Source organism: Homo sapiens, chromosome 2 (assembly GCF_000001405.40).
Source record: "Homo sapiens chromosome 2, GRCh38.p14 Primary Assembly".
In the NCBI taxonomy this organism is placed as follows: Eukaryota; Metazoa; Chordata; class Mammalia; order Primates; family Hominidae; genus Homo; species Homo sapiens.
This window is the reverse complement of record NC_000002.12, coordinates 86166073-86178645: the sequence shown is the minus strand read 5'-3', so window position 1 is coordinate 86178645 and position 12573 is coordinate 86166073. Positions and strand designations below refer to the sequence as shown.

Sequence of the window (12573 nt, the reverse complement as noted above, 5' to 3'; positions counted from 1 at the left end):
AGTTTTCTTTTTTTTTTTCCAAGACGGAGTCTTGCTCTGTTGCCCAGGCTGGAGCACAGTGATGTGATCTCGGCTCACTGCAACTTCCGCCTCCTGGGTTCAAGCGATTCTCCTGCCTCAGCCTTCCAAGTAGCTGGGATTATAGGCGGGCGCCACCACACCCGGCTAATTTTTTGTATTTTTAGTAGGGACGGGGTTTTACCATGTTGTCCAGGCTGGTCTTGAACTCCTGACCTGTGGTCCGCCTGCCTCGGCCCCCCAAAGTGCTGGGATTACAGGTGTGAGATACCATGCCTGGCCAGTTTTTTTTTTTCTTTTTTTTTTTTTTGAGATGGAGTCTTGCTGTGTCACGCAGGCTGGAATGCAGTGGCCTGATCTCAGCTCACTGCAAGTTCCGCCTCCCGGGTTCACGCCATTCTCCTGCCTCAGCCTCCTGAGTAGCTGGGCCTACAGGCGCTCACCACCACGCCTGGCTAATTTTTTGTATTTTTTTTAGTAGAGACGGGGTTTCACTGTGTTAGCCAGGATGATCTCGATCTCCTGACCTCGTGATCCACCTGCCTCTGCCTCCCAAAGTGCTGGGATTACAGGCTTGAGCCACCGCTCCTGGCCGCCAGTTTCCTTTAAATTGAACTAATAGTAGCTGGTACAGATGGATAATTATTCTTTTGGAGTCCCATAAGTGCTCTCAGTACATATCACATAGAAAATAACTGTGCTGCACACAAGGGTAAATGGAGGAGATACTTGGGTAGAGGTAACCATGGTTTCCCTATGGACTGAGGGGGACATCTATATATTATCCCATACTGTTGCAGCTATCAAGCTCTTACTTAGAACACTATAAAAACAAGTGCAGAATGGTCATGACATAAAACCACGTATTATGGTTAGTAATGGTTCCTTTTAGACCATAACACAAAGTCACAGAATTTTCATCTAGATGCTGATTAGTTGACAGGATATCTTGTACTATTCCTGTAACTTTGTGTGTATTCCTTTTTTTCTCACCAGCCTTAAAATTTTTTTCTTTTTTTTTTCTTTTGAGACAGAGTCTCGTTCTGTCGCCCAGGCTGGACTGCAGTGGCGCGATCTCGGATCACTGCAACTTCTGCCTCCTGGGTTCTGGCAATTCTGCTTCAGCCTCCCAAGTAGCTGGGACTACAGGCGTGCACCACCATGCCTAGCTAATTTTTGCATTTTTTAGTAGAGATGGGGTTTCACCATGTTGGCCAGGCTGGTCTTAAACTCCTGACCTCAGGTGATCCGCCCACCTCAGCCTCCCAAAGTGCTGGGATTACAGGCGTGAGCCACTGCGCCCAGCCTAAAAAAATTTTTAAACTCTAATCTTAAATGTTTCTTCATTCACACACAGCTTCTTGTAAAAAAAAAAAAAAGTCTGTAAAAGAGCATGGATTTTTGGCTCTTTGGTATTGGGCATTTCTTTACGCTAGGAGGCTGGACATAGCTGATCAGTTTATTCTTAGAAACTGGGTGGACTTACTGTCCAGTATCTAACATGATCTAGAGACCCATCCTATAGCAAAAGTTAACGTTTGGAAAAATAAATGTCATCCAACTTCCTCCCTGTAACCCACCCCAACCATACTTTTTCACAATGTTTTTGACTAGTCTTCTACATCATTTATTCTTCCCTATGGACTTTAAAATGTCCATATTGGCTGAGGGAGATAATTTTGCAGCTTCATAAGTCAAGGAGCAGAACCCTGTGGATTTATTCTAAAATCTTGAATCTATTTTAAGCTGCATGACCCAGGAAAAAATAGCTGGAAGCTGTTCTAGGAGCATGGAGTAAGGTTGAAAAATTCAGAGAAGTGTTCTTTTCTCAGTTGATGTGACTTCAGATTTCATTCTTTGTAGATGAATCCTTTATCTCTCCAAATAGCCTTGGCCTCTCCTCACTCCACTTTAGCTACCTTGGAGAACATTTCTAGTTAATAACTCAGCATGTTTGTACTAAACCACCTCCACACTTACACTGCTCCTTATTTGCTTTTTTGGATTAAAGATAGTACCAAGTTGTCAGGTGTAGCTAGGCCAGAATTCGTAGATTCTTCACAGGTTGCTCATATTTTGTTAGCTATCCTATCTTGTTTAATCTTCTTGCATTACCACTATCCGTACCCCTATTCTGACCTTTATCACTTCATATCCAAATTGTCTCCTGAACTAGGCCTGTTGCTCTCCATGCGCACACAGTCTTTCCCATCTTCCTCCCAGTCTCTACCCACCTAGATCTCTCCTCCTAACAGAATCTGGGTCATCCTTATATTAATACCAGAGAATCTTCTAAAAGAAGTGCTATGATATTTTCATGATAACACCTATTAATGTACTTCCAGATATTTTGTATTGTTTAAAAGATGGAAGACCACAGGATGTAAAAACTAGAGAAATCTTTCTTACCTTCTGAATAAGTATGAAGCCAGGAGTGCTTAAATGTCAGCCTAGGAACTGGCCATTGGGCTCCTTTATTTCTGTAGTTTGTGGTCTTTGCTAGCTTTTAAGTTGACATTCAATACCCTTGGCAATCTGGCACTTGTTTACCTTTGCAGCCTTATCTCTGGGTCCTGCACATAAGCCCTTAGCTGTACACCAGTTGCCCTTCATTACAAATATGTCTTTGCTTTCCATTTATTCATTTATTCAACCAATGTTAATCAAATGATTATTATGCTGCAGGCACTGTTCCAAGGGCCATGCTTAAAGATAGAACTCATCTAAGATCCCTTCCATTTGTACAGCTTTTTTTCAGGATGGTCTCCTACCCAGAATGACTTCCTTTCCTTCGCTTATTAATGTTCTCTTCAGGGGCTGCATCCTTCACTGTACAGATCTAAGTTAATTTTCTCACCTCTGAATTACAATAGCAGTTAGTGTTTCTATTTTTTTTTTTTTTACCATTTACTCAAGCACTCTCTACTGTTAAACATCGTGTCAACTTGTTGCTGTGCATTTTATTTCATAGTAACCTTTTTAGTGGCAACATGATTTGTTATAACATTGTCTCTATATTTACTGTCCATGCATAAAATCTTTTTGATGGACATGGAATAACACCTGCCTAAATGGTTACAACTGTTACATTCCTGGATAGAACTTCATATCATAAAAATGTCATTTCTCTCAAATATATATGTATGTCATTAAAGATAGTACCAAGATAGTACCAAATATATATTAAGATAGTACCAAATTACATTAAGATAGTACCAAATATATATGACATACATATATATATATTTGAGAGAAATGTATATGTATATATTAGAGAGAAATGATGTTTTTATGATGTGTCTATATACACAAATCTAGTAAGAATTTGAATGAATTTTTCTAGATGGTGAGGAACCAGATAATACAGTTTTAACATTTATATGGAGGAATTAATGATGTACAAGACTACTCAAGAACATTTTGAAAAAGGGATGAGGAGGGGTGCTTTTCTAGATAGACTTTTTTATACTGCTACTTTAATAAAATAAGGTTGGGACACAGGAAAAGAAATTAGAGGAATAAAACAACTGAATTTGGAAATAGATCACACACAAACTTTAATTATGAGAATGTGAATCACTAGAACCTTAAGTGAAAGTGATCTGTTAACATCTGTTAAAAATATACAACCCCTTTGACCCAACAATTCCTCTTCTGAAAACTATCCCATAGATATTACACTACGGTGCTTTTCATTTAAATGGACAGGGATGGATGTTCATTGCTTTGTTTGTAGCAGCAAAGCAAAACAAAACAGGAAACAATTTGAATGACTATAGAGGAGAAGTTGACCAAATTATGGGAAATCGTTATATGAGGATATTATGCAACTAAACAGAATTTCTTGACCTGAAAGAGAATGTCCATGATATAGTGTTAAATAAAAAAAGAGCAAGTTACAAGGTAATTTGTATAATATAACCCTATTTTGGTTTGTTTAAGGAAGTGAAACATTGTTTATGTGTATATACGAGAGCTTTTGCTCAGGAGTAGAAGGATAGATTCCAGGCTATTAGCAGTGGCTACCTAAGAGAGTGGAAAGGGAAAGGAGCAGTGAAGAGGCAAGTTAAAGCCACTGATATATCTTGGCATTATTTTGCTTGTTACAGTAAACAGTCTTCATCATTCAAAAATAATATTTTAATGAAAATGGAAATAATTCTGGTTTCTGGTAGTGACTAAGTTCAGAACCACCCTGTTGTGTTTAAGTAGTCATGTTAGGGATATCTGAGTCCTACTGCCAAGTTAGGGCAAAAAGTGGAATAACATAAGTGGAAATAAAAATAAAAGTAATTTTCTCTGGCACATATCTGGCAGCCCTCTTAAATGAATAGTGTCTTAAACTTAGAGCAGGCAATAATTGGGAAAGGGGAAGGCAAGCCTTGCTTACAAATTGATCATATATCTTACTGTGCAATTGCATGAATCCTGGAGATCAAAGAAACAAAATTCATTTGTATTTTCACTCAGAGCCTTTAATAATCATTTGCTTCTAACTGAATGTATACAGAAGACATCATAGTTTGATTTAGAAAGGAAATGATAATAGTCTTCTTAATACTGTGTAAGTACAAGCAATGGTGTTTAATGAGAAGATCATATGTCATGGACTTTATTGGTCACCCTAATAGAAACCTTTGTTACTATTAAAATATGGGCTGGTCATTTGGAATGAAATTTTTGAACTGCACTTTTCTAGTAATGGTGGTTTCTCTCAACTATGTTTAATAAAATACATATGTTACAAAGTGTTGATAACTTTATGTTAAAAGCCTGAAAGACTTGGCATTTGAAATACTGCAAATCACTGTACCTTTTTAAAAAACAGTAGTATATCTGAAATGTTAAATGTTTTTTATTTCCAAGATTCAGTCGGGTCCACTAAAAATCTCTAGTGTATCAGAAGTAATGAAAGAATCTAAACAGCCTGCCTCACAACTCCAAAAACAAAAGGGAGATACTCCAGCTTCAGCAACAGGTACTTATATTTTGAACCATCTTTTTAAAATTATAGGTAAATCTCTTCACCAATTCTTTTTTTTTTTTTGAGATGGAGTTTCGCTCTTGTTGCCTAGGCTGGAGTGCAGTGGCACAATCTCGGCTCACCGCAGCCTCCACCTCCCAGGTTCAAGCGATTCTCCTGCCTCAGACTCCTGAGTAGCTGGGATTACAGGCATGTGCCAGCACGCCCAGCTAATTTTCTATTTTTAGTAGAGGCGGAGTTTCTCCATGTTGGTCAGGCTGGTCTCAAACTCCCGCTCTCAGGTGATCTGCCCGCCTCGGCCTCCCAAAGTGCTGGGATTACAGGCGTGAGCCACCATGCCCGGCCTCTTCACCAATTCTTTATCCTCTCTTCTTTCTTAGTGATGAAAGTGTCTTGCTCTAGTCCCTGCAGATATTTTTTGACTTCAGAAACTACCAGTCACCCCACCCTAATTTACAGCACTTGCCTGTTGAACTCTAACCTGTTCAGTATACATTTGAACTTCTTATGTTTCTCCTTTGTTGTGTCTGTCCTTGATTAAATCACCTGACTTTCTTTAATTCAGCAGAAATTTACTGTCTTTTCTGTGCTAGACATTCTTGTAAGTACTGGGGAAACAGCCATGAACAAAAACAGTTAAAAAATTTTTTCAGCTAATATTTCTTGATTGGGTGCGGAGAGGAAATAAACAAGTAAAACGTATAGGATGTCAGACATTGTGGGAGGGAATACTGCAGTTTTAAATGGAATGTGTAAGGAATACCTTACCTGGAAGGGGTTATCTGAGCAAAGATTAGAAAGAGATAAGGGGGGTAAGTCATGTAAAAGGGTGGTGGGGAAAAGCATCCCAGGCAGCAGGATTAGCTGGTGTAGAGGCTTGATATATTCAAACAAAGGGCAAATGAGGCTAGAGTGAATTGAGTAAGGGGAGAACAGGAGCAAATGAGGTCAGAGAGGGAGCAAAAAGTTTATTGTGGCAGTCCTTGGAAGCCATTGTAAGAATTTTATTTTAGGCCAGGTGCATGGGCTCATGCCTGTAATCCCGCACTTTGGGAAACCAAGGCGGGAGGATCACCTAAGCCCAGGAGTTTGAAAGTAGCCTGGGCAACTTAGCAAGATCCTGTTTCTATAAAAAATTAAAAATTAGCTGGGGATGGCGGTGCATGCCTGCAGTCCCAGCACTCGGGAGGGAGGACCACTTGAGCCCAGGAGGTTGAGGCTGCAGTGAGCTATGATTGCACCCCTACACTCCAGCCTGGGTGACAGGGCAAGACTCTGTCTCAAACAAAAAAAAACATTGTTTCATATGCTGGGTGGGATGGGAAGAGAATGCTGAGCCAGGGGATTGATAATTGACTGTTACTTTAAAACCAAGGCCGGGCACAGTGGCTCACACCTGTAATCCCAGCACTTTGGGAGGCCGAGGAGGGAGGATCACTTGAGCCTAGCAGTTTGAGACCAGCCTGGGCAAGAGAGGGGAGACCCTGTCTCTACAAAAAAATGTAAAAATCAGCCAGGTGTGGTGGTATACACGTATAGTCCCAGCTGTGTGCCAGAGGCTGAGGTGGGAGTATTGCTTGTTCCTGGGAGGTCGAGGTTGCAGTGAGCCATGATAGTGCCACTATTCTCCAGCCTGGGCAACAGAGTGAGACCTTGTCTCAAAAAAAAAAAAAAAAAAAAAAAATATACTACACACACAAAAAATTGATTGAGTGATTGATAGAGATGGGATCTTGCTGTGTTGGCCAGGTTGGTCTTGGCCTCCCAAAGTGTGCAAAAAATATATATATATATATGTATTTTAACTCAGTTCTGTTCTTGATCACTGTGACCTTTCATCTTTTTGTTTAAAACTGTAATCTTTTTCCTGCTCACACGTCTTCTACCACTCTTCAAAGCAATTAAAAAATATTCTTTGTTTAGTTGCTTTCTTTTGTCTGTCTTCATCATTAACAGGCTTTTTCCTTTGTTACTCTTTTTCCATGTGTAAATGTCCCCTTCTTGTGTGTTAATATTATTATTATAAGCCTTGCCTGGAATAATGATGGTTAAAATGCAGGTGGATGCAGACAAGACTTCTTTCTTTTGTTCGTTCCCAACCATTGTCCATTTTGTGTGAGTTTATGTATGCAGTGGACAGTGCCCCTGTTTGTGTGTTATTCAAACATGTGGCAGTACAAATATTTGTGTCTCTAAGGAGTCAGATGTGAAGTGGGTGGTGATGGTGGTAGTAAATTTCTGTGTGTTTCTCTGTTAACCCAGGAAAGTATAAATACCATGAGTAACATATATTTATAGCACCTACAGAAGCGGCTCAAATTATTTCTGCAGCAGGTGATACCCTGTCGGTCCCAGCCCCTGCAGTTCAGCCTGAGGAATCTTTAAAAACTGATCACCCTGAAATTGGTGAAGGAAAACCCACACCTGCACTTTCAGGTAATTTAATTATTTCTATTTGTTCTTTTATACATGATACACTCATCAGAACTATTTAATGCCTAGGCAACACGTAGACACTAAGTATACATTTACACTAGGTTTAGGTCTTCAGAGTTTCTTAGGAAATTTTTAAAATTTAAATGTCCGAATGTATCTTTTTAAACAAGAAGATTAAAGCCTGATTCCTATTTCTTCATTTTGGAATCATTAAGAGTAATGATATGGTTTTAGAATTCTTAACACAAAAATGCCCTGCATTGATATAACTGGCCAGTACAAACGATGCTTTTTTTATATCCCTGTTAGCTATTAAAATTCTATGCTGAAATTTGATTTCCTCTTATTTACTTTTGCTGCAAGAAGAAGCATCCTCATCTTCTATAAGGGAGCGACCACCTGAAGAAGTTGCAGCTCGCCTTGCACAACAGGAAAAACAAGAACAAGTTAAAATTGAGTGTATGTAAACCAGACAGCTTCTTAAGGATTTTGGGTCATCTCCCAGTTGCTCTCTTCTTAAACTATCAGCACAAGTTTGTCATCTATCACCTAGTTGTGGTTTCTTTTGTTGCTGCGGTTGTTTTTTAGTGGCATTGCTTTATTCATCACCTTCATTTCATCTAAACTTCTTTTACCTAAGTGACAAAGGCTATTCTTAGTGTATAGTTGGTGAAAACTCCAAATAATACTAAAGATTATGTTAGCGCTAAAGATTCTTTATACTCTGGGAAACAGAAATTGATTATTTATGTTTTAGCAGCTTGCCTAAAAGTCCTTTATTTATTTTTTTGAGATAGGCTCTTTTCTGTCACCCAGACTGGAGTGCGGTGGCACTGTCATGGCTCACTGCAGCCTCAACCTCCCAGGCCAAAGCCATCCTCCCACCTCAGCCTCCTCTGTAGCTGGGACTACAGGCGTGTACCACCATACCCAGCTAATTTTTTAAAAATTTTTTATAGACACAGGCATCTCACTATGTTGCCTAGACTGGTCTCGTACTCCTGGGCTCAAGTGATCCTCCCACCTTGAACTCCCAAAGTGCTGGGATTACAGGCCTGAGCCCTTGTACCCAGCCCTAAGAGTCTTTTATTAATAATTGTTAATTTATACTTGTAAATAATTGTTTATTAATAATTGTAAATTTATTTGTTGGAGTCAGAATGGCTTACACTGCCTTATCATCTAGCCTCTGGACTCTCTAGTAGTGCTTTTATCTGACACTGGTGGGGCATGGAATGTTCTACACATCGCTGGTTTCCAGCTAACAAGCATATTCCTTTTTAAGTTTCAGTTTTATGGTTTTTTTGTTTGTTTGTTTTTAAGAGATGGGCTCTTACTGTGTTGGTCAGGGTAGTGTTGGACTCTTGGCCTCAAGAAATCCTCCCACCTTGGCCTCCCAAAGTGCTGGGATTACAGGCATGAGCTACCACACCTGGCCAAGTTTTTTTTATCATTATTATTATTTTTGCTGTCCTCGGTAGGTCAGGATTCTTAAATTTTTTGATGGTTTAAAAAAGATAATAGATATTTATCAATTTATTTTTCTGTCTTAAAGCACATGTAACATAATTTTTTGTACTGTGCTATAATATGTTGATGTCTCTGGAGGTCGTGGGATGTAGCTTTTTGCTGGACAGAGAGTTCAGTACTCATGGCAGCTGTTTATAGTTTTTTGATCTCCTTGTCATTTGTTTTGCTCCTGTTTCCCTTGTAATGTGCTGGTTCTGCCCTACCCTGAGGAACCAAGTTTCTTAGAATAGCATAGGTGTCATTCTGTGCCTATGGCATTAGTTTTCCTACTTGGATTTGGATTTTCGTTTTTGATTTTTTGTATTCTTCTGATTGTGTTACAAATATTTGTGAATATTTAATAAATGACTTCTAACTAAGTGAAATATTTCATTTTTCCTACTTCTTTTTTCTTTTAGTCCTGTTTTTTCTTCACTTTTCACTTTTCTCTCTTTATCACTTGGGCACCTTGAAATTAAGTTATAAACGTAAGATGGAGATGTCTGCTGTTCCAGCTGTTCTTTTCCTTGCCTGGTTCCTCTCATCTTTCATTTTGGGCAAAGTGAAAATTTTCAGAATTTTATCTGTCACCTCTTAATTCCCCCTCAAACTTGACTTTAAAAATATACACATATGCATTTGCATGTGAAATATTTATCAAGGATCAAAGGACAGTGACTAAACCTCTGAAGAGGGCTGGAAGCAGCAGGTGCCTCCCAGCAGCCCACTTTCTGTGGCCTCCATAAAGTGGTTCACAACTGCCTGTACTTGATGTCCACTGTTCACTCACGCATGTCATGGGATCCAAATACCACGGTTTCTCTCCCTTGCCCCTTTCTCTTGTTGTATCCCCTGCTCTCATTTCACTTCTATCACTTCTGTCAATTTCTTTTTATTTTCTCCTTATTAGTTTTCCTCTTATCTTTCTTGCAGAGGTACCATTTGTAGTTCCTCAGATTCCATTTGTTCATTGCTAGTTTATGCTTCTTTTCCTCAAAATCATCTTTTTTTCTCGCTTGTCAAATACATTTTTTATTTTTTGTCATGTGATATCATTTATTTAATTAATTTGTTTTGAGACAGAGTCTCACTCTGTCACCTAGGCTGGAGTGCAGTGGTGCAATATCGGCTCACTACAACCTCCAACTCCCAGGTTCAAGCGATTTTCCTGCCTCAGCCTCCTGAGTAGCTGGGACTATAGGCACCCACCACCATGTCTGGATAATTTTTGTATTTTTAGTAGAGACGGGGTTTCACAATGTTGGCCAGCCTGGTCTCGAACTCCTGACCTCAGGTGATACACCTGCCTCGGCCTCCCAAAGTGCTGGGATTACAGGCGTGAGCCACTGCGCCGGCCCATTTATTATTAAATTAGTATTCTTACTAGCCGCCTTTCTTCAAATGACCATTTATTTTTGCATTTTAGTAAATTATCTAAAATTGTCATTTGCTTTACTTTTTGGTATTCCCGAAACAGCATATAGAAATGTGATCTTAATAGATGGAAGCCTCTTGAACATTGGTGTCTGCTATTTCTTGAGTCCTTTTATGGAAGAACACTGTCCATTTCAAGTTGCCTTTGGGTTTTGTTTTGTATTTTTTGACCTGTTTTCTTATTTGTCTTTTTCTTTCTCTTGTCTGTTTTCTTGTATCTTGTCAACATAAGTGTTTTGCTATGAGTATTCCTTCTTGCCAAGGGGATGAAATGGGCACCTCTTTTTCCCTGTTACGATTGTTGTTTAAAATGAAGAAAGCTGATGGATTTGTTGAGTTTATAGCCACAATATGTAAAAGGGGCTATAGTGTCCTAAACCTTGTTTCTCCCATTTGAAATACATTACCCTTCTTTAAATAATTTTGAAAAAAAAAAACACTTTTTATTTTGAAAAAGTTTAGATATACAGAAAAGAAAAAGTAGGCTGGGCACGGTGGCTCACGCCTGTAATCCCAGCACTTTGAGAGGCTGAGGTGGATGGATCACGAGGTCAGGAGATCGAGACCATCCTGGCTAACACGGTGAAACCCTGTCTGCTAAAAATACAAAATATTAGCTGAGCGTGGTGGCAGGCACCTGTAGTCCCAGCTACTCAGGAGGCTGAGGCAGGAGAATCGCCTGAACCCAGGAGGCGGAGGTTGCAGTGAACTGAGACGGTGCCACTGCACTCTAGCCTGGGCGATAGAGTGGGACTCCGTCTCCAAAAAAAAAAAAAAAAACAAAAAACAAAAAACCGGGCACGGTGGCTCACGCCTGTAATCCCAGCACTTTGGGAGTCCAGGGTGGGCGGATCATGGGGTCAGTAGATGGAGACTATCCTGGCTAACATGGTGAAACCCCGTCTCTACTAAGAAATACAAAAAAATTAGCTGGGCGTGGTGGTATGCACCTGTAGTCCCAGCTACTCGGGAGGCTGAGGTAGGAGAATGGCGTGAACCCGGGAGGCGGAGCTTGCAGTGAGCCGAGATCGCGCCACTGCACTCCAGCCTGGGCGACAGAGCGAGACTCTGTCTCAAAAAAAAAAAAAAAAAGAAGTGTAATAAAGCTTCATAGATTTATCATCCAGACTAAATTATCAGTATTTTACCATGTTTTCTTTTTTTTTTTTGAGAGAGTCTCGCTCTGTCGCCCAGGCTAGAGTGCAGTGGCATGATCTCGGCTCACTGCAAGCTCCACCTCCCAGGTTCAAGCGATTCTCCTGCCTCAGCCTCCCAGGTAGCTGGAACTACAGGCACCCGCCACCATGCCTGGCTAATTTTTGTATTTTTAGTAGAGACGGGGTTTCACCACATTGGTCAGGTTGGTCTCAAACTCCTGACCTTGTGATACGCCCGCCTCGGCCTCCCAAAGTGCTGGGATTACAGGCATGAGCCACTGCGCCCGGCCTTTACCATACTTTTAAGTGAAACTTTGATTCCCTAAATTTGAGTCTCATGTATTTTGTTCCTTTTTAAATTTTTTGGGAAATGCAATGGAAGACTAGATAGGAGAACAGCAAAAGTTTAAAGTCATTTATGGGGGTAGGATTTGTTTTTTAACTGTTCTTTTTTTTTTTTAAGCTCTAGCCAAGAGCTTAGAAGATGCTCTGAGGCAAACTGCAAGTGTCACTCTGCAGGCTATTGCAGCTCAGAATGCTGCGGTCCAGGCTGTCAATGCACACTCCAACATATTGAAAGCCGCCATGGACAATTCTGAGGTGAGCCCAATGAATGATTAGAAGTGTTCTGGCTGTCATGACTTGGAGGACAAAAAGAAAAATCGAGGGTGGAGAGAAGTGTAATATTTAACAGACTGCTTTCTTCCGTATGATATCGGCTTTCTCTCACTAGGGGAAGATAGTCTGGAATAATTAATCTTTTTTTGTTATTGTTTTGAGACGGAGTCTTGCTCTGTCGCCCGGGCTGGAGTCCAGTGGTGCGATCTCGGCTCATTGCAACCTCCACCTCCCAGGTTCAAGCGATTCTCCTGCCTCAGCCTCCCGAGTAGCTGGGATTACAGGCTCCCGCCACCATACCCGGCTAATTTTTGTACTTTTAGTAGAGACAGGGTTTGCCATTTTGGCCAGGCTGGACTGGAACTCTTGACCTCAAGTGATTTGCCTGCCTCGGCCTCCCAAAATGTTGGGATTACA

The 12573-nt window shown here is 40.4% G+C and overlaps 1 protein-coding gene across 62 annotated transcripts in view; it reads left to right on the top strand.

Annotated features, from left to right (window-relative positions):
* Positions 1–12573, top strand: part of IMMT (inner membrane mitochondrial protein) — a 51527-nt gene that overhangs the window by 16817 nt on the left and 22137 nt on the right. For 13 of the 62 annotated variants that reach the window (NR_174402.1, NR_174399.1, NR_174401.1 and 10 more), the window contains 4 exons: positions 4885–4996; positions 7334–7438; positions 7802–7897; positions 12002–12138. Coding sequence is in view for 43 of the 62 variants with exons in the window: in NM_001400117.1 (NP_001387046.1) it covers positions 4885–4996; positions 7334–7438; positions 7802–7897; positions 12002–12138 (450 nt within the window). In the remaining 19 variants the exon portion in view is untranslated. Of the gene's footprint in view, positions 1–4884; positions 4997–7264; positions 7439–7801; positions 9334–12001; positions 12139–12573 lie in introns of those variants that run through there. The other 49 variants (NR_174395.1, NR_174400.1, NM_001400119.1 and 46 more) reach the window with 27 other exon arrangements.